Source organism: Homo sapiens, chromosome Y (genome assembly GCF_000001405.40).
Source record: "Homo sapiens chromosome Y, GRCh38.p14 Primary Assembly".
Lineage (NCBI taxonomy): Eukaryota > Metazoa > Chordata > Mammalia > Primates > Hominidae > Homo > Homo sapiens.
In genome coordinates this window covers 12644284-12669430 of record NC_000024.10, presented here as the reverse complement: position 1 = coordinate 12669430, position 25147 = coordinate 12644284, and the positions used below count along the sequence as shown (strand labels likewise).

The following is a 25147-nucleotide window of genomic DNA, read 5'->3' as shown; positions in this document are numbered from 1 at the left end:
ATTTTTTTTCAGAACAATGCTCATTTTTGAATAGGTAATTGCTGTAATTCTGTAACTAAAACTATATGATTAGTAGCAGAACGCATAGAAATTAAAGGTAAGTCAGTTTTGTAACCTCACCTTTGACTTTTTGCTGGTTGACTTTTTACTTACTAAAAAACAAAAAACAAACAAACAAAAAACAATGTGGCCGGCACAGTGGCTCACGCCTGTAATCCCAGCACTTTGTGAGGCCAGGGTGGGCAGACCACAAGGTCAGGGGTTTAACACCAGACTGGCCAACAGGGTGAAACTGTCTGTACTCAAAACACACAAAAAATTAGCTGGGTGTGGTAGCACACTCCTATAGTCCCAGCTACTCAGGAGGCTGAGGCAGGAGAATCGCTTGAACCCAGGAGGCAGAGGATGCACCAAGCTGAGACCACCCCACTGCATTCCAGTCTGGGCGATAGAGTGAGACTCTCTCTCAAATAAAAAAAAAAAATCTCAGGGTAATGAATGTGTGTCTATATCCATTCTTTTTTTGTCTAAATATTCAACTGGCTATAAGTCTTTTCACTGTCAGTTCCCTGGCAATAGAGGAATGGTGGTGAGTCCCCACGAAGGGGGACAAGATGAACCCAGACCAGACACCCAGGCCACACTGGGTTCATCTGTCCCAACTTTATGGGATGGAATAAAAATTTGGTGGCCACTGATGTTGCCTCTGGCAAATCTTGGCCTAAAGGGGGAGAATGTAAACCAAAAATAAAATTCTAAGCCCTCCAACCATCTGAATGGACCCTTCCTTTTGGCAAGGACATTCCAAGACTAACCTGAGGGGGGCTGGTTCAGGTTGTGATGCGGAGAAGAGTACGGACATACCTCATTATATGCTCCTCTCTTTTGGAATTACTAATACAATAGACTATTTTTCTGATGAGAAACATTTACAATCTTACAATCCATTTTTTCTGAAGCCCGCTACCTGGAGGCTTCACTTGCATAAGAGAACTTTGGTCTTCACAATCCCTCATCATTATAACCCAGACGTTCTCTTCTATTGACTCTAGGTATTTAGGTAATAACTTAACTGTCAACCTACCAATCAGAGAAACTTTAACTCTACCAGTAACCTGGGAGCCCCAGCTTTCAGCTGTCTCAACTTTCTGGGCCGAAGCAATGTACATCTTCCACATATGTATTTGATGGATATCTCATGCCTCTGTAAAATGTATAAAGCTAGGCTGTGCCCAGACCACCTTGGACACATGTTCTCAGGGTCTCCTGAGTGCTGGGTCATGGGCCACTGGTCCCTCATACTTGGCTCAGAATAAATCCCTTCAAGTATTTTACGGAGTGTGACTCTTCATCAATAACTTTCAGTTAGGAAAAGATTTCCTAGCTAGAACATAAAAAGCACAAGCAATAAAACAAAACAAAACAAAAAGCTTTTGTGCTTCAAAATATGTCATTAAGAAAGTGAAGATAAGCTGCAGACTAGGACAAAATATTTGCATATCATATGTCTGACAGAAGATATTATCTATGCCAGCGCAGTGGCTCACACCTACAATCTCAGCACTTCGGGAGTCCAAGGCGGGCAAATCATTTGAGCCCAGGAGTTTGAGACCACCTTCGGCACCAAGGTGAAACCCCATCTCCACAAAAAAGTACAAAAGTTACCAGTCTCACCAACATGGTGAAACCCCATCTCTATTAAAGATACAAAAAATTACCTGGGCATGGTGGCCTGTGCCTGTAATCCCAGCTACTCAGGAGGCTGGGGCAGAAGAATTGCTTGAACCCAGGAGGTGGAGGCTGCAGTGAGCCGAGATCGCACAACTGCACTCCAGCCTCGGCAACAGAGAGAGACTCTGTCTCAAAAAAAAAAACAAAGTACAAAAATTAGCTGGGCCTGGTGGCAAGCAGTCCAAGCTACTCGAAAGGCTCAGGTAGGAAGATCACTTGAGCCTGGGGTATGGAGTTTACAGTGAGCCGAGAGTGTGCCATTGCACTTCAGCCTTGATAGCAGAGTCTGTCTCACACACACACATTAAAAAAAGGAAGGAAAGGAAAAAAAGACATAGCCAAACAAAGAGCTTTTACAGGTCAATTTAAAACAAACAATAAATTTTAATGGGCAAGTCTGAATATTCTCTAAAGAAACACAATCAGAAAATGAGCACATGAGAAGATGTTCAACATTTGTTAGCCATTAGGAAAATGCAAAATAAGATACCACTAATAAGATACCACTGCACACCCAATGGAAAGAGTATACCAAAACAGCTGGTATGAATGTAAAATGGTGCAGACACCTTGGAAAACAATTTGGCAATTGCTTAAGTTAAATATAAACTTACAATACAATAAGTAATTTTGTTACTACATACCTCCCCAAGATACAATTGTTCTTTTCTTTTTTTTGAGACAGAGTCTTGCTCTGTTGCCCAGGCTGGAGTGCAGTGGTGAGATCTCTGCTCATTACAACTTCTGCCTCCTGGGTTCAAGGGATTCTGCCTCCTGGCTCCCAAGGATTCTGCCTCAGCCTCCAAGTAGCTGGGACTATGGGCACACACCACCATGCCCAGTTATTTTTTGTATTTTTAGTATAGACGGGGTTTCACCATATTGGCTAGGCTGGTCTCGAACTCCTGACCTCAGGTGATCCACCCGCCTTGGCCTCCCAAAGTGCTAGGATTACAGGCATGAGCCACTGTGCCCCACCCTGTAATTGTTCTTAAAGTCCTTAAAATGTAACAAAGAAACAAAAACCCTAATTGTTCACACATAAAGCCTTGTGTACATTAATGTTCCTAGCAACTTCACTTATAAAAACCCCAAACTGCAAACAAGTGTACCAAATGTACACTTGGTAAACAGGTAAACTGCACCCATATAATGATATACCATTAGTATAAAAAAGACACAGTATTTATCCATATTACAACATGAATGAATCTCAAAAACATTATCTACATGGAAGACGCAAATCTCAAAAACATTATCTATGTGGAAGATGTGAGATACAAAGACTACATATTTTGATTCAATTTTTGTGAAACATCCAAAAAAGGCAAATCTGTAGATATAGAAGATTACAGATTACCAAGAGCTGAGGATATGAGTGGGGAATGGCTTGAAAAGGAACAAGGATGTGCTGGAGTGATGAAAATGTTCTAAAACTGGAAGTGTTTCAGAACTCTGTAAATGTATTAGAAACCAGTAAGTTGTATATGTAAAAGAAACATTTAATATGTAAATTATACTTCAATAAAGCTATTACACTAACTTATGCAATAAGAAAAAATATTTCGTTTATTGCACAAAAATGACTACCAATCCTTTAATGCACATTTTTTAAAAAACATAGATTTGAAATAATTATCTTTAACTCAAGCAAAGGATGGTTTCCACATCAAAATGCTAAAACAAAACTGTCTACTGTAGTTTAAAAACGAATCTTATAAAACAACAAAAAGCTAACAAAGTGTTAATTTGTGCAACAAACCAAGAAGTGAATGTTGAAGTTGAGACAAATACCTACTTTCTAAAACTGTAAGCTGCCTCATAAATATCTGATGAAAAAATCTATTAGAAGATATCCATTAAAATACGTAATGCTAGATACTGGAAAACGCATTTCAACATCCGAGAAGAAAAAAAGACCCACAGTAAATCCTTCTTTTTTCTTTTTCTTTTTTTGAGATAGAGTCTCAGCTTTGTCTCCCAGGCTGGAGTGCAATGGCGCAGATCTCGGCTCACTGCAACCTCTGCTTCCTGAATTCAAGTGGTTCTCCTGCCTCAGTTTCCCAAGTAGCTGGGATCACAGGCGCCCACCACCATGCCCAGCTAATGTATGTATTTTTAGTAGAGACAGGGTTTTGCCATGTTGGCCAAGCTGGTCTCAAACTCCTAACCTCAGGTGATCTGCCTGACTCGGCTTCCCAAATTGCTAAGATGACAGGAATGAGCCACTGTGCCTGGCCTGGAAAAGAAATCCTTCTTTTCCATTTTCATTGACAAACCACGGTAACCATTCAAAAGCCCAAAAATAAGAAATGTCCATACTCAGAATCCCCTGAGCCTCCTACATTATCTCACATCTGTCTGTCTGTGACTGGGAGGCACGGGTGGTTTACGGTCTCAATAAGTTAAATAAAATCTGTTAAAAATCACTTCTTTATTACGTAGATTCTCAAATACAATGTTTTTGCCATTATGTAGTCATTATAAAAATTTTCTCCAAGTGTAGATGAAAAGTCATATATACATATTTTGTTTTTTTTTTTAAACGAAGTTTTGCTCTTGTTGCCCAGGTTGGAGTGCAGTGGCGCGATCTCGGCTCACAGCAACCTCCAACTCCCGGGTTCACGGGATTCTCCTGCCTCAGTCTCCCGAGAAGCTGGGATTACAAGCACCCGCCACCACGCCAAGCTAATTTTTTTTTTTTTTTGTATTTTTAGTAGAGACGGGGTTTCACCATGTTGGCCAGGCTGGTCTTGAACTCCTCACCTCAGGCAATCCAGCCGCCCGGGCCTCCCAAAGTGCTGGGATTATAGGAGTGAGCCACCACACCCGGACCCACAGTCATATATATTACTAAAGCCAACCGACAAAAAGAAATATTGTAACAGTAAGACAAGATTGACAAGAGTAAACATTCACGCAATCACCGTTAACAGAAAACGGCAACAAGAAATAATTAAAATCCCACAATCTTATTTTCAAGTCAGTGAAATAAAAAATACTCCCAACTCACCCTTGAATCACCAACGGCAAATACTTTAGGTTTTCTTTCTTCCCAAACTGTAAGAATAAAGTTTGAAGCGAGAAGTTAAAAGCATGTGAAGCGAGAAAGTTAAAAGCATATCAATGAGTTTTCTAATTGAAAAACAAATCCTTACACTTTTAAACAATTGCGCATTTGCAGAGACGAAAATGGCAGTGATTAAAGCAGCAAACTAAGAAAAATGTAGAAGTTTATGGTGTATATTTTTAAAGTTTAACGGTATAGTTTTAGACAACCGTGGTACCTTATGATCTGGTACTTAGTTTATCGGATAATTACTAATGAGAATGAACCCCAAGAAAAGAAGTCTTGAAAGTTTCGTAGTGAAAGAACCTGTATTTCCTTCTTAACAGTGATCTTGTTTTGTGGATTTAGAGGATGAACGAGTTGCCCAGTAAGAGAATGCCCCCCTTAAAAAAACAAAAACAAAAACCAGGCTGAGCACGGTGGCTCACGCCTGTAATCCCAGGCCTTTGGGAGACCGAAGCGGGCAGATCACCTGAGGTCGGCAGTTCGAGACCAGCCTGACCAACATGGAGAAACCACGTTTCTACTAAAAATACAAAATTAGCCCGACGTGGTGGCGCATTCCTGTAATCACTGGTACTCCGGAGGCTAAGGCATAAGAATCGCTTGAACCCGCGAGGTGGAGGTTGTGGTGAGCCGAGATCGCGCCACTGCACTCCTGCCAGGGCAACAAGAGCGAAACTCCGTCTCAAAAAGAAAACAAAAAACAAAAAACCAGCATTAATAGTTAAGGGTTACGTATACATCTTTCAAACTTAAAAACCTTCTGAACAAGTAAGATACACCGGGCAGCGTACAAATTAAGTAAACTTATGCGCAAATTTTATAAATAACATTCTTAATATAAACGTTTAAAATTCCTGTGTAAATTTCTAGTTTGCAAAAAATTTCATAAAAATTAGTAAAATATCTGCTCCATAAGTCTAAGTTAATATTTTGAGATACCGAAAAAGTACATTATGCGTAATGCGCTATCACAAAAACAGGTTCAACCACTAACAGAGACAAGTTGTTTCTGTAGAGAACAGAAAGGAGATCTGATACAAACTAAATCGGAACCGAATTGTTCATTAAAATACGTCATACTGCGTCTTGGCGTTTAGCAAAGTAGCGGAGAGGAAGAGGAGGTATAAGGCTGTAAGAGGGCAAAAACCTGGTGCAGACTCTCAGGTCAGATGGTGAGGGCTGATTGCGGGAGGTGGACAAGAAGTCTGGCCTAATGACTAAGGACAGCTAACGCCTAACTCCGTTCCTCATCACTCCACCTGGGTAAGAGCATTTGGTGCAACGAGCCAGTTTCGAGCCTGTGAAGGACCGTGGGGCAAGGTGTGTAACCAGGAGCGGTTAGTCCCTGGCTCTGAGTGAGGCCCCGGGCATAGACAGGAGGTTCTTCCTGTGAAACCAGAGATTTAATCCTCCCACTTCACCTTAGGCATTACGAGAAATAGGGAAGGCGGGGGAGGCTAGGCGGCCATTTTTCCTTACAGTGCAAAATACACACACAGCAGTTCCGCCCGCGTCTGCCCCTAGCCCTCCGAAATAAGAAGTCTCAAGCCCGGTAGGGCAAAAGAAGAAACGCACATACTCAGAATCCCCTGAGCCTCCGACATTATCTCACATCTGTCTGTCGGTGATTCGGAGGCGCGGGTGGTTTACGGTACAGGCGCCAGGTCCACGTAATCAGGGCACCCGACAGTGGGAAATAGAGACTAGACTCAGACCTACACCTGGGAATGGCGGACAACAAAATATCTGTAAAATATTTTGATATTAGGTACTTTCTAGGCACGCGGTCGTGACTGCGGCCTGCATGCCTGAGGAAGACATTGCTCACAAATACCGGGATTTGGCCTAAGAAGCGTCCATCTCTTTATACAGGTGACCGATGCCGCTACCTCTTTGTCATTCAGTAGCCCTCTTTACCTGTTTTGGCCTCGCTGCTAGGGCTGTCGCCGAGCTTACACGGACTCCAGGTGATGAGTTTTTCTTGAGTCACTGCAAAGGCAGTTTCACTAGGCTTCACTTTTCTTTCTCGCGGTTTTCGGCCAGGTCTCTCCTGAGACACTCCTATCTCCCGGTCCCGACACCAGCACCAAGCGCTCAGGTAAACGTCCCAAGTAAGACAAAGGCAATCTACATCAGGGCCTGCTAGCGGCGTGAAGGAGGGAGGGACTCAGAGCATCAAAGTCAGTCCACAACGGGCGGGGTTCAGTTAAATTGTGTCTCCAGCGATCTATTAGACCCGTCCTCTTCAATATGGCGCATTGAACCCGGCTGACAAAAAAAAAAAAAAAAAAAAAAAAAAAAGGAGAGAGAGAAAGAGACCGCCCAGCCAGCTGCGCAGGCTCCCACCATCCCCAGCGCCGCGACCTGCGACCCTCCAAGACCCCACCCCCGCCAAGCCCCGCCCCTAGGGCCTCCCCTGCTCTGATTTACGTCTTCCTCTCTTTGCTAACGGTTGCTGTTTCTACTTTTCTTCCCCTTTTCTACTCTTTCTATACCCAGAAGCAGCGGAACTGGCAACACCTTGGTGCCCTAGACGGAAACCTCAGTCCCGACTGAAGCGTATTCATCACCAACACTGGGATAGCTGCAGCTAGGGCCACACAATAAAAATAGCCCAGGACGGCACTGGCTATCCGCTGCCCCTTCAGCTATAGAATTCCTGTCCTTAATCGCTTTTAGTTCTGTAACTGCTTGTGGAAACAGCTGATTACTGGACAGGTGGGAGTACGAAAGGCGTTTAGTAAGACTGCAAATCTGATGTGAACTGGTAGGACGCAGAGTGTATGGCATAGTCAAGAAAGAAGTCAACGCCAGGCGAGGTGCTATGGCTAAGGGATTAATCTTTTGTGTCCCAACTATGTTGCTCTGACGGTTCCACTTGCACTACTGGTTTTTACTTCATCGTTAATCTCTGCTCTGGCCGATAACAGCCTGCATGAAAACATCACCAGTTTTCAAGTTTTTCTCAGGATGAACAGTACATAGAAAAGTGAGCCTGAATGCTGAGATCCTGAGACCGTGCTGCGGCGCCTGGGAATTCATAGAGCAGCTTTTAAGGGGCCACCACTTCTCGCATCGTGTGCCATGCAAGTAAACCTACCCTATCCTGAGACCCTTGCCTGGGGTGACTGGAAGAGCTGCTTCTGTAGAATCCTGGGCCAGACCATCTATCTGGACGAATAGGAGAAAAGCCTAGTTGTTGTCTCCTGCAAGATGTATTCAGTTGTAATTTCGCCTTTGTTCCTTAATCTGTTAGTATGGTATATTACATCGATTAATATTTCATATTAAATCAGTCATGAATTCCCATTATGAGCCCCACTTGCTCATGATTGAAGATATTTCTTATATGTTGCAGATTGACTCTTGGTATTATTTGTCCATTTTTGTACTCACCTAGCACACACATACAAAATTGCAGATTTGTTAGGATTAGATATCATGCAAAACTTACTATCTTATGAAGTTCTTAATACATGTATTGCTATCCTTGGTTTTCCATAAAAAAATTTTAGAAAAAATAAGTTAACTGCCCAAGATCATCAGCCAGCAAAGATAAGAAGTACAAGTGTTGGCCAGGCACGGTGTCTCGGTCCTGTAATCCCAGCACTTTGGGAAGTCGACATGGGCAGATCGCTTGAGGTCAGGAGTTTGATAACAGCCTGGCTAACATGGCGAAACTCCGTCTGTTCTAAAAATACAAAAAATTAGCCAGCTGTCAGAGCAGGCACCTGTAATCCCAGCTACTCAGGAGGCTGAAGCAGGAGAATTGCCTGAATCAGGGAGGCAGAGGTTGCAGGGATCCCAGACAGTGCCACTGCACTCCAGCCAACGTGAAAAGAGCAAGACTCCATCTCAAAAAAAAAAAAAAAAAAAAATAGAATGCAAGTGTTCTAAGCCCCTAACAAAGCCCACTTTGTGCTCTACATCTGCGCCCCATGTAATAATCATAATCAAAAGATACTCTAGAACTTAATTCCTGCCTTATACTTACTAACTTTACTTCTCCTTTGAAGAAGTCTTGATAGGTATAGATATGCAGACATAGGCTAATTTTTTTCTTTATTGCTGGTAAGGTTTTATTGTATAACATACATCCTATAAACATCACAGCCCAATTTTCACTAAATACTAATACACTGTGTAATAATACACTAATACACAGGTCTACCGATGTTACTACCACCATTTTAATATAGAACTCTGTTGGATCTGGGATTTTATTTTACCTTTCTCAAAAGCTATAAGATTCACCTGTTACTATTTAGTGGATCCAAAGACAGTATTTTGGGACTAAGATCCGCAGACTTTATAAAGGCAAAAACAAGCAGTATCAAGGCCTTTACTACTTGTAACAGAACAAGCAGCATGAGCATCATGTTTGCAGACTACCTGTGCTTCCTAAATCACGTACGAGTGATGCAAAGGGGCCCACATATTTATATGTCAGACAGCAGTGCAATGCAGTTCCTTGCATTGCAGATAAGGAACAGTTTGGAATTCTACTACGTTTATACTAAGGCAAAATAAGCAAGCTTGCTCTTTGTCTGTTGGAAAGTAGAGAATGATATTACCTTATCTGTCTAGGTTACTAAGAAATAACATAGATAGGCTGGGCGTGGTGGCTCACATCTGTAATCCCAGCACTTTGGGAAGCTGAGGCAGGTGGATCATGAGGTCAGGAGTTCGAGACCAGCCTAGCCAAGATGATGAAACCCTGTCAATACTAAAAATACAAAAATTAGCTGGGCAAGATGACGGGCACCTGTAATCTCAGCTACTCAGGAAGCTGAGGCAGGAGAATCCCTTGAACTCGGGAGGCAGAGGTTGCAGTGAGCCAAGATAGTGCCGTTGCAATCTAGCCTGGGCAACAGCAAGACTCTGTCTCAAAAAAAAAAAAAAAAAGAAAAAGAAAAATAACATAGATAAAGTGTTGTCAGGATATTGCATTGTGGCATACCCAGGAAGGCATATAAGAAATGCAAGATTGATGGAAGTCTGTCTCTTCCAACAAATACTGCTAACATGTCAGAACCGTATCTTCCTAGTCCTTGCCTCCCCACCACCCGCCTTCCGTTAACTCTTCTGACTTCTATCATTACCTGATTTTGATTTATATAAGTAGTTTCATGTGGGCTGGGTATGGTGGCTTACGCCTGTAATCCCAGCACGTTGGGAGGCCAAGGCGGGCAGATCACTAGGTTAAGGGATTGAGATCATCCTGGCCAACATGGTGAAAGCCCATCTCTACTAAAATACCAAAATTAGCCGGGTGTGGTGGCAGCCGCCTGTAGTCCCAGCTACTCAGGAGGCTGAGGCAGGAGAATCGCTTGAACTCATGAGGCGGAGTTTGCCATGCATCGAGATAGCGCCACTGCACTCCAGCCTGGCAACAGAGCGAGATTCCGTCTCAAAAAAAAAAAAAAAAGATTCATGTGGCAGTAAACTTGTTTCTGGTTTCCCTCCTCAATATTATATCCAAGAGCTTCATTTATGTACTATAACATATAAAATACCAGAACATATCTGTCTCATTACTATTGATGGACATTTGGGTCATTAATTATAGTCCATGTATTTTGGTAGACATATGTCCTTGTTTGTACTAAGCCTATTAGTGGAATTCCTAGAGTTTTTAAGTATACATATGCTTATCTTCAATGGATAGTGTCAAATAGTTTCCCAAAGTGGTTGTGTTTATTTGAATCATAAACTTTCAGGGTTTGTTTGTATGTCAGAAGCAACCAATATTGATAATTGATAAACATTGATAATTTCATATGGTTTAGTGTGTAAAGTTATATCTCCACCAGTGTTGCCAGAGGGGAATATTCAACCAAATTGAACTCACCAACAACTCTCTTCCTGTGCTCTAAGGAGCTACCCATCAAGCACCTTAATTCAGCATGGGTCTCGAATTTTGACACTTTCTATTCAATTAATGGCATAAGAAATGGGGAAGACATCTGAGTTAAAATAATAGATTAAATGGTAGAGTAAAACACTTCAAATTAAAGTTTATAAGTTCAGAGCTTTTTTCCCATTTCTTTTGTTTATACTTTTCTTCAATAACTACTGCATTTAACATTAATATTACTTCCTTACTTTCTGGTTCTGTATTTTTAGGAGAAAAAGTGCTATTACATTACATTTTAATCAAAATGACCCACTTCATTCTTGTTCTACCTGGAAAGCCTTGGGAAGTATATTTATCTCTTACTATTAAACCCATATTGTAAGATAGGTGAAAGGAAGGACTTTCAGAATGGTGGCATGAGGAGTCTCCATCCCCAGCAAAACAGCCATACTGGTAAAAGTTATATGAAAAAACAAAATTAATAATGGTTGGGCGTGATGGCTCACACCTGTAAATCCCAGCACTTTGGGAGGCCAAGGTGGGCAGATGACTTGAGGTCAGGAGTTCGAGATCAGACCAGTGAAACCCTGTCTCTATTAAAATACAAAAAGTAGCTGGGCATGGTGGTACACACCTGTAATTCCAGCTACTCAGGAGGCTGAGGCACCAGAATAGCTTGAACCCGGGAGGCAGAGGTTGTGTGAGCAGTGATTGCACTGCTGAACTCCAGCCTGGGCAAAAAGAGTTAGACTCTCAAAAAATAAAATAAAATAAATCTCTAGAAGTAGTTCTAAAGGTATACAGCAAGTGGAGAAACATTTATTAAAGTGAATTTACAAAAGCTGAAAAAAACACAAGTTTGTGGTATTTGAACCCCTTGAATTGAGAAATAGGCACTTCAACAATAATTGTTGGAGATTTCTAATGCTACTTTTAGTAATATATTAAGAGCAACTAGAATAAGATTAACAAGGATATATGCAATGAAAACTGTAAAACATCTAGGCCTCCCAGGGCTTTGAGAGGCTGAGGCAGGAGAATCACTTTAGGCCAAGAGTTTAAGACCATTCTGAGACCAGTGAGACTCCTTCTCTGCAAAACTCTTTTAAACAAATTACGTGGGCATCCTGGTGCACACCTGTAGTCCCAACTACTCAGGTTGCTGAAGGTGGAAGGATCTCTTGAACCTAGGGGATTGGGGCTGCAGTGAGATATGATTGCACACTGCTCTGCAGCCTGGACAAAAGAGCAAGACCCTGTCTCTAAAACAATAAAAATAAAGTAAAATAAAACATAGAGAATAACACGAATAACTAAATTAAGAATAGAAAAACAGAGAACATCAGCCGGGCGTGGTGGCTAACGCCTGTAATCCCAACACTTTGGGAGGCCAAGGCGAGCAGATCACGAGCTCAGAAGATTGAGACCATCCTGGCTAACATAGTGTAACCCCGTCTATACTAAAAAAATACAAAAAATTAGCCGGGCATGGTGGCGGGCTTCTGTAGTCCCAGCTGCTTGGGAGGCTGAGGCAGGAGAATGGCTTGAACCCAGGAGGTGGAGCTTGCAGTGAGCTGAGATTGCACCACTGCAATCTCCAGCCTGGGTGACAGAGTGAGACTCTGTCTAAAAATAAAATAATAATAATAATAAAAAAAAGAACATCCATGAATCTAAAAGTTTATTCTTTGAACAATTAACAAAATGAACAAACATTTAGGTAGAATGACCAAGAAAAGAAGTGACAAGAATCAAGTTTCTAAAATCAGAAATTAAACTTAATGAAACCAAACTTAATGAAAAATTTTAATTACACAGGAATATTATGGACAATTGCATGCTAACAAAATCAGTAGCTTAAATTCCTGAAAAGGCACAAACTTCCCAAACTAATTCAAAATGTAAAAGAAGATTGCAATAACCCTGTAATAAGAGAGTGAATTAATACCATAAAAACTTCTCTCAAAGAAAAGACCAGGTCTGAATGAGCTTCCTTCTCAATTCTACTAACTTTTTTCTTTTTATATATATATATTTTTTCTTTTTTTGAAATGGAGTCTGGCTTGCTCTGTTGCCCAGGCTGGAGTGCAGTGGTGCAATCTCAGCTCACTGCCACCTCCGCCTCCACCTACCAGGTTCAAGCAATTCCGTGTCTCAGCCTCCCAAATAGCTGGGATTACAGGGGCCTGCCACCACGCCTGGCTGATTTCTGTGTTTTTAGTAGAGACAGGGTTTCTCCATCTTGGTCAGGCTGGTCTTGAACTCCTGACATCATGATCCACCTGTCTTGGCCTCCCAAAGTGCTGAGATTACAGGTGAGAGCCACCGTGCCCAGCCAATTCTACTAACTTCAGAGAATTAATACCAATTCTTTATAAACTCTTCCAAAAGTAGAACTGGCAGGAGAAATTTGCAACTCATTCTGTGAAGTCATTTAAGATATCAAAACCAAAAACATGAAAAGAAGGCAGGGTTGGGGGAACAGAAGGAATAAGGAATGAAAAAAATAAGGCAAGAAGGGAGATTGGGACAGAGGAAGGAAAGAAAGGAAAAGAAGGAAAGAAAATAACAGACCAATATTTCTTTTTTCTTTCTTTCTTTTTTTTTTTTGAGACAAAGTCTCCCTCTGTCACCCAGGCTGGAGTGCAATAGCAGCACAATCTCAGCTCACTGCAACATTTACCTCCTGGGTTCAAACAATTCTCCTGCTTCAGCTTCCCAAGTCGAGTAGCTGGGACTACAGGCTGGCACCACCACACCCAGCTATTTTTTGTATTTTTAGTAGAAATAGGGTTTCACCATCTTGGCCAGTCTGGTCTCAAACTTCAAGGCCTTCTGCCGCCTTGTCCTCCCAAAGTGCTGAGATTACAGGTGAGAGTCACTGGGCCTGGAAAATATTTCTTATAAATATTTACAATAACATCTTCAACAAAATACCAGGAAAGCAAATCCAGCAACATATAAAAAGAATTATGGTAGAAGGAATTTTAATAGAGAGAATAATGAGAATAGAGAGAATAATGTCCCCCAGATATGTTTACATTATAATACTGGGCATATCAGAATATATTTCCTCACATGGCAAAAGGACTTTGCAGATATGATTGATGTTTAGCACCTTGAGTTGAGATTATCTTGGATTGTTTAAAGTGGTCTAATCTAATAATGAGATAATAGAAATGGACACTAGCCATAAATAAAAGCATCAGTCAGAGAGCTGCAGCAATGATAGAAGGGTCAGAGAAATGGGAAGCTAATAGCCTTGAAGATAGAGGAAGGTGGCTGCAAGCCAAGGAAGGTGATTGGCCTCTAAAATTGGGAAAGGCAAGGACTTTACCTTAAAAAGAAATATAGCCTTTAATTTAGCCCATTAAAAACTGGGTCATTGGGCCAGGCAAGGTGTCTCACACCTATAATCCCAGCACTTTGGGATGCCAAGGCAGGCGGATCACTTTAGGTCAGGAGTTCGAGACCAGCCTGGCTAACATGGTGAAGCCCTATCTACTAACAAAAATTAGCCAGGCATGGAGGTATGCACCTGTAATCCCAGATATTCAGGAAGCTGAGGCAGGAGAATACTTTGAACCTAGGAGGAGGTTACAGTGAGCTGAGATCGTACCACTGCACTCCAGCCAGAGTGACAGAGCAAGACCCTGTATCAAAACAAAAAAAAAAAAAAGAAAAGAAAAGAAAAGAAAAAATATTGTGTCACATTTCTGACCTAAGAAATGTAGGATGGTAAATTTATACTACTTTGAGCCATGATGCATAAGATAATTTGTTAAAAAGCAATAGGAGGCAGGGCGCAGTGGCTCACGCCTGTAATCCCAGAACTTTGGGAGGCCAAGGCGGGTGGATCACCAGGTCAGGAGATTGAGACAATCCTGGCTAATACGGTGAAACCCCGTCTCTACTGAAAATATAAAAAAATTAGCCGAACGTGGTGGCGGGTGCCTGTAGTCCCAGCTACTCGGGAGGCTGAGGCAGGAGAATGGTGTGAACCCCAGAAGCAGAGCTTGCAGTGAGCCGAGATCACGCCACTGCACACCAGCCTGGGCAACAGAGTAAGACTCCATCTCAAAAAAAAAAAAGAAAAAAAAGCAATAGAAAACCCATGCACCGTGACTAAACAAGAGTTATCCCAGGAATGAAAAGTTGGTTTACCATCTGAAAATCAACTAACATAATATTCATTTCAATAAAATAAAGGACAAATCAAACATCATAATAACATATATAATAAATAATTTGACAAAAATCCAACAATCTTTCTTGGCCAAAAAAAAAAAAAGATTAGGAAGTTAGAAACAGGAGGACATACAGGAAAAACCCAGAGTGATATCTCTACAATGATGAAAGACTGAATAATTTTTCTTTCAAATCAGCAGCAAGACAAGAATATCTGTGCTTGCTATTTCCTCAGCATCATAGTGAGATCCTAATGAGAGCAAATAGGGAAGAAGGAGCAAAAGGCATTCATATTGGAAAAGAAGAAATAAAACAACATGTACGGGTGAGATGATTTGGTATATCATGAATTTGTAAACTTTGAAGCAACCACCAAAACTCTGTCCTAATAAATGAGTTCTGTTAAGGTTGTAGACTAACATACAAAAATCAGTTGTATTTCTTTATACCTCCAAGGAACAATCTGAAAAATAAATGAAACAGTCTCATTCACAATAGCATCAATAAGAAAAAGAATTCTTAAGAAAAAATTTTAGGGCTGGGCACAATGGTTCACACCTGTAATCCCAACACTTTGGGAGGCCAAGGTGACTGGATCACCCTGGAGTTTGAGACCAGCCTGGCCAACATGGTGAAACCCCGTCTCTACTAAAAATACAAAAATTAGCCAGGCGTAGTGGCATGTGCCTGTAATCCCAGCTAATCAGGAGGCTGAGGTGGAAGAATCCCTTGAACCCAGGAGACAGAGGCTGCAGTGAGCCAAGATTGTGCCACTGCACTGCAGCCTGGGGGATGGTGCAAGACTCTGTCTCAAAAAAAAAAAAAAAAAAAAATTTAACAAGTGCAAAACTTACACTCTCAAAGTGACAGAATATTTTTATAAGAAATTATAGAAGGCCAAGAAAAATGAGATGACATCTCTCATTTATGAAGTGTAAGATTTAATACTATGATGATTGCAATACTCCCCAAATTGATCTACAGATTCAACACAATCCGGATTAAACTTTTCATTGGATATTTTGCAGCACTGAGAAATGGATCTTACAATTTACACACAGTACAAGAATAATCAGAGACATCTTGAAAAAGAATAAAGTTGAAGGACTTATACTACCTAGCTGTAAAACTTACTATAGGGCCAGGTGCAGTAGCTCACGCCTGTAATGCCAACACTTTGGGAGGCCGAGGTGGGTGTATCGCCTGAGGTCAGGAGTTTCAGACCAGCCTGGCCAACATCGTGAAACCCCATGTTGACTAAAAATACAAAAAATTAAGACTGGGTACAGTGGCTCACACCTGTAATCCCAGCACTTTGGAAGGCCAAGGTGGGTGGATCATGAAGTCAGGAGATCAAGACCATCCTGGCTTACACAGTGAAACTCCATCTCTAATAAAAAAAATAATTAAAAAAATAAAAATAAAAAAGCCAGGTGTGGTGGTGCATGCCTGTACTCCCAGCTACTCAGGAGGATGAAGCCAGAGAATCACTTGAACCCAGGAGCAGGATGTTGCAGTGAGCCAAGATCACACTACTGCACTCCAGCCTGGGTGACAGAGCGAGACTGTCTCAAAAAAAAAAAAAAAAAAAAAAATTAGCCAAGCATGGTTGTGCATGCCTGTAATCCTAGCTACTTCAGGCACCTATAAACTCGGCTACTTTGGGAGGCTGAGGCAGGAGACTTGCTTGAACCCGGGAGGCAGAGGATGCAGTGAGCCGAGACCATGCCATTGCACTCCAGCCTGGGCAACAAGAGCAAAACTCTGTCTCAAAACAACAACAACAGCAACAACCTTACTATAAAGCCATAGTAATTGAAACAGTGTGGCAGTGGCATAAGGATGGAATTCAATGGAAATAAATAAAAAATCCACTGTAAAAAGTCATTTTGAGTCTTTTTTAAAAGAGAGAACACTTGGCCAGGCATTGTGGCTCATGCCTGTAAACCCAGCACTTTGGATGGCCGAGATGGGCTGATCACCCAAGGTCAGCAGTTTGAGACCATCCTGGCCAACATGGTGAAACCCAGTCTCTACTAAAAATACAAAAATTAGCCAGGCATGGTGATGCATGCCTGTAATCCCAGCTACTCAGAAGGCTGAGATATGAGAATTGCTAGAACTGGGGAGGTGGAGGTTACAGAAAGCCAAGATTGCTCTACTGCACTCCAGCCTGGGCGACAGAGCGAGACTCTGTGTCAAAAAAAACAAAAACAAAAACAAAAAAAGAGAACACTTCCAATTCAATAATAAAAAGATAAATCACATAATTTAAAAACTAGATAATGAAAATGAAAAGAAATTTCTCTAACTAAAGGACAATAGCACACAAGAAAGTCTCAACGCCATCAGCCATCAGGAAAATGCTCATCAAAACCCAGTAAGACACCACTTCTATCTACTAGGTTGACTATAATTAAAAAGATGCTGCATTCTGGATTATAGCAATTGCTGCCAAGAGTGTGGAGAGGTTAAAACTCTCATAAACTGTTGATGGAAATATAAAATTGTGCAACTACTTTGACAAACTATCTATGATTCTGATTCTACAAAATTTTAACATAGACACAGCAGTTCCACTCCTAAGTATGTACCCTAGGGAAGTGAAAACATATATTCACACAAAATATTTACACAATTGTTCATCATTGTATTATTCATTATAGCCAGCAAGTGAAATCACCCAAATGTTCGTCAACTGATAAATGGATAAAATATGTTGTTTCTTTTTTTCTTGCTTTTTTGTTTTGAGATGGAGTCTTGCTCTGTCACCAGGCTGGAATGCAGTGGCATGATATTAGTTCACTGCAACCTCTGACTCCCTGGTTCAGGCATTCGCCTGCCTCAGCCTTCCACGTAGCTGAGATTACAGGCATGCCCAGCTAATTTTTCTATTTTTAGTAGTGACAGGGTTTCATGATGTTGGCCAGGATGGTCTCAATCTCCTGACCTCGTGATCCACACGTTGACCAGGATGTTCTCAATCTCCTGACCTCATGATCCATCTGTCTTGGCCTCCCAAACTGCGGGATTACAGGTGTGAGCCACTGTGCCAGGCCTAAAATGTGTTATTTCAATACCATAGAATATTATGCAGCAATATGAAGTACTCATACATTGTATAATATGAATAAACCTTTAAAACGTTAAGCTAAGTAAAAGAAGCCAGTCACAAACTAATTGATTGTATCCTCGCATTTTGTGAAATGTTAGAATAGTCAAACCTGTAGAAGCTGATAGTACATTGTAGGTTGCATATCACTAGGTGCCTGGGGGGTAATGGGAAGTGATTGCTAATGAGTATGGAATATCATTTTTGGTGATGCAATGTTCTAAAACTGATTATAATTATAGTTGTACAACTCCCATGAATACAATATACTAAAACCATTGAATTGAATTGTACATTTTAAATCAGTACATTTTATGCTTTATGAATTATTCTCCATAAAACTTTTTAAAAAGGATAAGAAGAACTTGTACATAATTGTTATTCAATAATTTTAGGGCTGCAAATTTCTACGACATTCTAGAGACTAAAAGCTAAATAGTTAACAGCAAAGGAGATTTTTGGGTAAATAGCCAAGTTAATATAGCTTTGGTAATTTGCCACCTCCTACAGCTCCCCAGAGAAGCAGACTCCTATATCTTGGAACTGGCCTGAAACATCTAGAATGTGCTCTTTTAAGAACTAGGTTGGAATTTACAGCTAGGTTATTGTATTCTCCTGTTGAGTCTATCTGAGATCCCATGGTAAGAATTAAGTTTGCTGTTTGGCTACCACCAACTCCTTTCACTGTTACCATCAAGAAAATTTAGGGTTCACCTTTCTCTAGTCTCAAAGATAAGTTACTACTTTACTCAAATATCTGCTTTCCAGCTTCTCAGATTCTGTTCCTCTTGACTTCTCTCCTGTTTGTCTTTTTCTTTTTGGGCTTATACTTGTTTTATTTATTCCTTTAGTGGAGTTTCTGAAAAGGAACTTATTGGTTTCTTTTAAAATGAAAAGCAAACTTTATTATTATCTTTATTTTTTATTTTTATTTTTGAGATGGAGTCTCACTCTGTCCCCCAGGCTGTAGTGCAGTGGCGTGATCTCGACTCACTGCAAGCTCTGCCTCCTGGGTTCAGGCCGTTCTCCTGCCTCTGCCTCCCAAGTAGCTGGGACTACAGGCGCCTGCCACCACACCCGGCTAATTTTGTTTTTGTATTTTTAGTAGAGACGGGGTTTCACTGTGTTAGCCAGGATGGTCTCAATCTCCTGACCTGGTGATCCACCCACCTCGGCCTCCCAAAGTGCTGGGATTACAGGCATGAGCCACCACACCTGGCCAGCAAACTTTATTTTTAAATGGCATTACAATAACCTTGGAAAATATTGCCACAAATATGAATAAAGTATAAAGATTTCTGCTATATGAATCATTCATAAAGATTCAGGAAAGAAACATTATTGTCGCAATATTCAAGGCAAAGAGAGTGACCAGATGAGCACCCAGAAGAAACAAATGATTAATAGGCACAGTAGATATTCAGCTTCACTAGACATCTTTACTAGAAACTTAAGAACTGTGTATTATAATCAAAATAACCTATGTTACCTATTCCAAACTTCTACAACTTTGAGCAAATAATGTGAATCTCATTCCTGTTAAGTTGTAAAATTTGGAAGGCTTACTTTCCCTGAGGACTTAAAAACAATTTTTTAAAAATTTAAAGGGTAAATTTCTGGTAATATATGTACTTTGAAAAAAAGCATAGTTTTTAATTCATTATCATTACTATGTGTTATGTATTATACATACTATACAGTATGACATTACATTTGTTTACACCCACATCACCACAAACATGTGAGTAATTCATTGTCCTATGACTTTAAAATTGTTCCAGCATCATTAGGTGATAGGAATTTTTCAGCTCCATTATAATCTGATGTAAATGATGTCTTATATACATGTTTGTCCTTGATGAAAACTTTATTTTATTTTTCCATAAGTTATTGGGAAACAAGTGGTGTTTGGTTATATGAGTAAGTTCTTTGGTGGTGATTTGTGAGATTTTGGTGCACCCATCTCCTTAGCAGTATACACTGCACCCTATTTGTTGTCGTTTATCTCTCGCACCCCTCCTGCTCATCTCCCCAAGTCCCCAAAGTGTGTTGCATCATTCTTATGCCTCTGCATCCTCATAGCTTAGCTCCCACATATCAGTGAGAACGTATGATGTTTGGTTTTCCATTCCTGAGTTACTTCATTTAGAATAATAGCCTCCAATCTCATCCAAGCCACTGCAAATGTCATTAGCTCATTCTTTTTTGTGGCTGAGTAGTATTCCATTGTATCTATCTGTCTGTCTGTCTATCTATCTATCTATCTATCTATCTATCTATCTATCTATCTATCTATCACAGTTTCTTTATCCACTCATTGATTGATGGGCGTTTGGGTTGGTTCCGTGATTTTGCAATTATGAGTTGTGCTGCTATAAACATGCCATGTGCAGGTATATTTTGTACAATCACTTCTTTTCCTCCGGGTAGATACCTAGTAGTGGTATTGCTGGATCAAATGGTAGTTCTACTTTTAGCTCTTTAAGGAATCCTCACACTGTTTTTCATAGTGGTTGTACTAGTTTACAGTCCCACAAACAATGTAGAAGTCCTCCCTGATCACTGCATCCACACTAACATCTACTGCTTTTTGATTTTTTGATTATGGCCATTCTTGCAGGAGTAAGGTAGTATAGCATTGTGGTTTTGATTTGCATTTCCCTGATCATTAGTGATGTTGAGCATTTTTTCATATGTTGGTTGACCATTTGTATAGCTTCTTTTGCAAATTATCTATTCATGTCCTTAGCCCACTTTTTGATGGGATTATTTGTTGTTTTTTTTTCTTGCGAATTTGTTTGAGTTCATGGTAGATTCTGGATATTAGTCCTTTGTTAGATTTATAGATTGTGAATATTTTCTCCCACTCTATGGGTTGTCTGTTTGCTCTGCTGAATGTTCCTTTTGCCATGCAAAGGCTCTTTCATTTAATTAAGTCCCAGCTATTTATCTTTGTTTTTATTGTATTTGCTTTTGGGTTCTTGGCAATAAAATCCTTGCCTAAGCTAATGTCTAGAAGGGTTTTTTCAACATTATCTTCTAGAATTTGTATAGTTTCAGGTCTTAGGTTTAATTCCTTAATCAGTTGATTTTTGTATTAAGTGAGAGATGAGGATCCAGTTTCATTCTCCTATATGCGAGACAAGCCAATTATCCCAGCACCATTTGTTGAATAGGGTATCTTTTCCCTACATTATGTTTTTGTTTCCTTTGGCAAAGATCGGTTGACTGTAAGTATTACGGTTTACTTCTGGGTTATTTATTCTGTTCCATTGGTCTATGTGCCTATTTTTATACCAGTACCATGCTGTTTTGGTGACTGTGTCCTTACAGTATAGTTTGAATTCAAGTAATGTGATGCCTCCAGGTTTGTTCTTTTTGCTTATTCTTACTTTGGCTATGTGGGCTCTTTTTTGGTTACATATGAATTTTATAATAGTTTTTTCTAATTCTGAGAAGAATGATGGTGGTATTTTGATGGAGATTGAATTGAATTTGTAGATTGCTTTTGGCAGTATGATCATTTTCACAACATTGATTCTACCCATCCATGAGCATAGGATGTGTTTGCATTTGTTTGTGTCATCTATGATTTCTTTCTGTAATGTTTTGTAGTTTTCCTTGTAGAGATATTTCTCCTCCTTGGTTAGGTATATGTGTAAGTATTTTATTTTATTTGCAGCAATTGTAAAAGAGGTTGAGGGCTTGATTTGCTTCTCTGCTTGGTTGCTCTTGGTGTATAGAAGAGCTACTGTTTGGTCTACATTAATCTTGTATCCAGAAACTTTGCTGAATTATTTTATCAGTTCTAGGAGCTTTCTAGAGGAATCTTTAGGGTTTTAGAGGTAAACAATAATATCATCAGCAAACAGTGACAGTTGACTTCCTCTTTATCGATTTGGATGCCCTTTATTTCTTTCTCTTGTCTGAGTGCTCTGTTTAGGACTTCCAGTATAATGTGGAAGAGGAGTGGTGAGAGGGGGAATCCTTTTCTTCTTCCTGTTCTCAGAGGAAATGCTTTCAACTTTTCCCCATTCATTATGATGTTGGCTCTGTGGCTGTCCTAGACAGCTTTCATTATATTGAGGTATGTCCCTTGTATGCCAATTTTGCTTAGAGTTTTTATCATAAAAGGATGCTGGATTTTGTCAGATGCTTTTTCTGCATCTATTGTGATGATCACGTGATGTTTGTTTTTAATTCTGTTTATGTGGTATATCACATTTATTGACTTAAGTATGTTAAACTATCCCTGTATCCCTGGTATGATATCCACTTGATCATGGTGGATTATCTTTTTGAGATGTTGTTGGATTCAGTTAGCTAGTGTTTCGTTAAGGACATTAGCATCTATGTTCACCAGGGATATTGGTCTGGAGTGATTTTTTTCATTATGTCCATTCCTGGTTACGGTATTAAGTGATGCTGGCTTGACAGAATGATTTAGGAAGGGTTTCCTCTTTCTCTCTTTTGGAACAGTGTCAAAATGATTGATACCAATTCTCCTTAGAATGTCTGCTAGAATTCTGCTGTGAACACAGTTTTCACAGGTTGTGTCACTATTGTCGTTCAGTTTAAAGATTTTTTTTAAATTTCCATCTTGATTTCATTTTTGACCCAGTGATCATTCAGGAGAAAGTTTTTTAATTTCCATGTATTTGCAAGGTTTTGAAGGTTACTTTTGGAGTTGATTTCCAGTTTTATTGCACCACAGTCTCAGAGAGTGCTTGACGTAATTTCAATTTTATTAAATTTATTGAGGCTCATTTTTGTGGCCTATCATATGGTCTAATTTGGAGAAAGTTTTGTGCAGTGTTCAATAGAATGTGTATTCTGTGGTTGTTGGATGGAATGTTCTGTAAATATCTGTTAAGCTCACTTGTTCCATGATATTGTTTAAATCCATTTTTTCTTTGTTGACTTTTTATCTTGATGACTTGTCTAGTACTGTCAGTGGAGTATTGAAGTTCCCCACTACTATTGTGTTGTTGTCCATCTCATTTCTTAGGTCTATTAGTAATTGTCCTATAAATTCAGGAGCTCCAGTGTTAGGTGCATATATTTTTAGAATTGTGATATTTTTCTGTTGAACAAGGCCTTTTACCATTATGTAATGTCCCTCTTTGTCTTTTTTAACTGCTGTTGCTTTAAAGCTTGTTTTTTCTGATATAAGCATAGGTACTTTGGGCCCGGCTCACACCTGTAATTCCAGCACTTTGGGAGGCCAAAGCAGATGGGTCGCCTGAGCTCAGAAGTTCAAGACCAGCCAGCCTGGGCAACATAGCGAAGCCCCATCTCTACTAAAATACAAAAAATTAGCCTGGCGTGGCAGCATGTGCCTGTAGTCCCAGCTACTCAGGAGGCTGAGGCAAGAGAATTGCTTGAACCTGGTGCACAGAGGTTGCAGTGAGCTGACATCATGCCACTGCACTCTAGCTTGGCTGACAGAGCAAGACTCCTTTACCTGAAGTTTATGTGAGTCCTTACGTGTTGTTAGGTGAGCCTCTTGAAGGCAGCAAAAAGTTGGTTGGTGAATTCTGATCCACTCTGCAGTTCTGTATCTTTTAAATGGAGCATTTAGGCCATTTACATTTAATGTAAGTGAGTGTGAGGTACCTAACCATTACATTCATCATGCTATTTGTTGCCTATGTATCTTGGTTTTTTCGTTTTTGTTTTTCAACTTGTATTTTTGTTTTATAGGTCCTGTGTGATTTATGCTTTAAAAAGGTTCTCTTTTGATGTATTTCCAGGATGTGCTTTAAGATTTAGAACTGCTTTTAACAGTTCTTATAGTGCTGGCTTGGTAGTGGTGAATTATTTCAGAATTTGTTTGTCTGAAAAAGACTGTATCTTTTCTTCATATATGAGCTTAGTTTCACTGGATACAAAATTTTGGCTGATAATTGTTTAGTTTGAGGAGGCTAAAAAAGGGCCCCAGTCTGTTCTAGTTTGTAGAGTTTCACCTGAGAAATCTGCTCTTAATCTGATAGGTTACCTGGTGCTATTGTCTCACAGCTGTTAAGATTCTTTCCTTTGTCTTAACTTTAGTTAACCTGAAGACAATGTGCCTAGGTAATGATCTTTTTCAATGAATTTCCCATGCGTTCTTTGTGCTTCTTGCATTTAGATGTCTAGTTGTCTAGGTAGGTTGGGGAAAAATTCCTTGATTATTCCCCTAAATATGTTTTCCAAACTTTTAGATTTCTCTTTTTCCCAGGAATGCCAGTTATTCTTAGGTTTGGTTGTTTAACATTATCCCAAACTTTCTGGAGGCTTTGTTCATATTTTCATATTCTTTTTTCTTTGTCTTTGTTGGACTGGATTAATTCAAAGACCTTGTCTTCAAGCTCTGAATTTCCCTATTCTACTTCTTCAATTGTATTGCTGAGACTTTCCAGATCATTTTGCATTTCTATAAGTATGTCCAGTGTTTCTTGCGGTTTCTTTTTTTTAATTTAAGCTATTTAATTCATTGAATATTTTTTCCTTCACTTCTTGTATTTTTTTTTTTATTTCCTTATATTGGGCCTCGTCTTTCTCTGGTGCCTCCCTGATTAGCTTAGTAACTAACCTCCTGAATTCTTTTTTAGGTAAATCAGGGATTTCTTCTTGGCATAGCTTCATTGCTAGTGAGTTAGTGTGATTTTTCGGGGGTGTTGAAGAGCCTTGTTTTGCCGTGTTACCAGAGTTGGTTTTCTGGTTCCTTCTCATTTGGGTAGCCTCCATCAGAGGGAAGGTCTAGGGCTAAAGGGTGTTGTTCAGATTATTTTGTCCCATGGGGTGGTCTCCTGATATTGTACTCTCCTCCTTTTCCGAGGGATGTGGCTTCCTGAGAACCAAGCTGTTGTGATTCTTATCTCTCTTCTGGATCTAGCCACCCAGCGTGTCTACCAGGCTGTCGTCTCGTACTGGAGATTGTCTGCACAGGTTTCTGTGATGTAAACCATCTATGGTTCTCTCAGCCATGGATACTGGCACCTGTTCTGCTGGAGGTTGCAGGAGGGTGAAATAGACTCTGTGAGGGTACTTAGCTTTGATCATTTAATACCCAATTTTCGTGATGGTTGGCCTCCTGCTGGAAGGTGTCACTTTCCAGAGAGCATCAGCTGTGATAGTATGGAGACGAACCAGCAGAAGGTGGGGCCTGAGAACTATCAAAAGTATATGCCCTCAGTTAACA

General features: G+C 40.2%; 2 long non-coding RNA genes across 7 annotated transcripts in view; one reads left to right on the top strand and one right to left on the bottom strand.

Annotated features, from left to right (window-relative positions):
- The window catches only part of TTTY15 (testis expressed transcript, Y-linked 15), a 29882-nt gene extending 22803 nt beyond the window's left edge, over window positions 1-7079 (bottom strand). For 3 of the 5 annotated variants that reach the window (NR_001545.3, NR_174087.1, NR_174088.1), the window contains exons 1-2: window positions 6725-7079; window positions 4745-4791 (exon numbers count right to left, since the gene is read on the bottom strand). This is a non-coding gene — a long non-coding RNA (testis expressed transcript, Y-linked 15). The remainder of the gene's footprint in view (window positions 1-4744; window positions 4792-6724) is intronic. The other 2 variants (NR_174085.1, NR_174086.1) reach the window with 1 other exon arrangement.
- Window positions 5939-8116, top strand: LOC112268311 (uncharacterized). 2 transcript variants are annotated; one of them, XR_002958838.2, is made up of 2 exons: window positions 5939-6127; window positions 6680-8116. It is a non-coding gene; the product is annotated as an uncharacterized LOC112268311 (long non-coding RNA). The 2 variants fall into 2 exon arrangements; XR_002958839.2 differs by having other exon boundaries at window positions 5948-6070.
- The last annotated feature ends 17031 nt before the right edge of the window (window positions 8117-25147 follow it).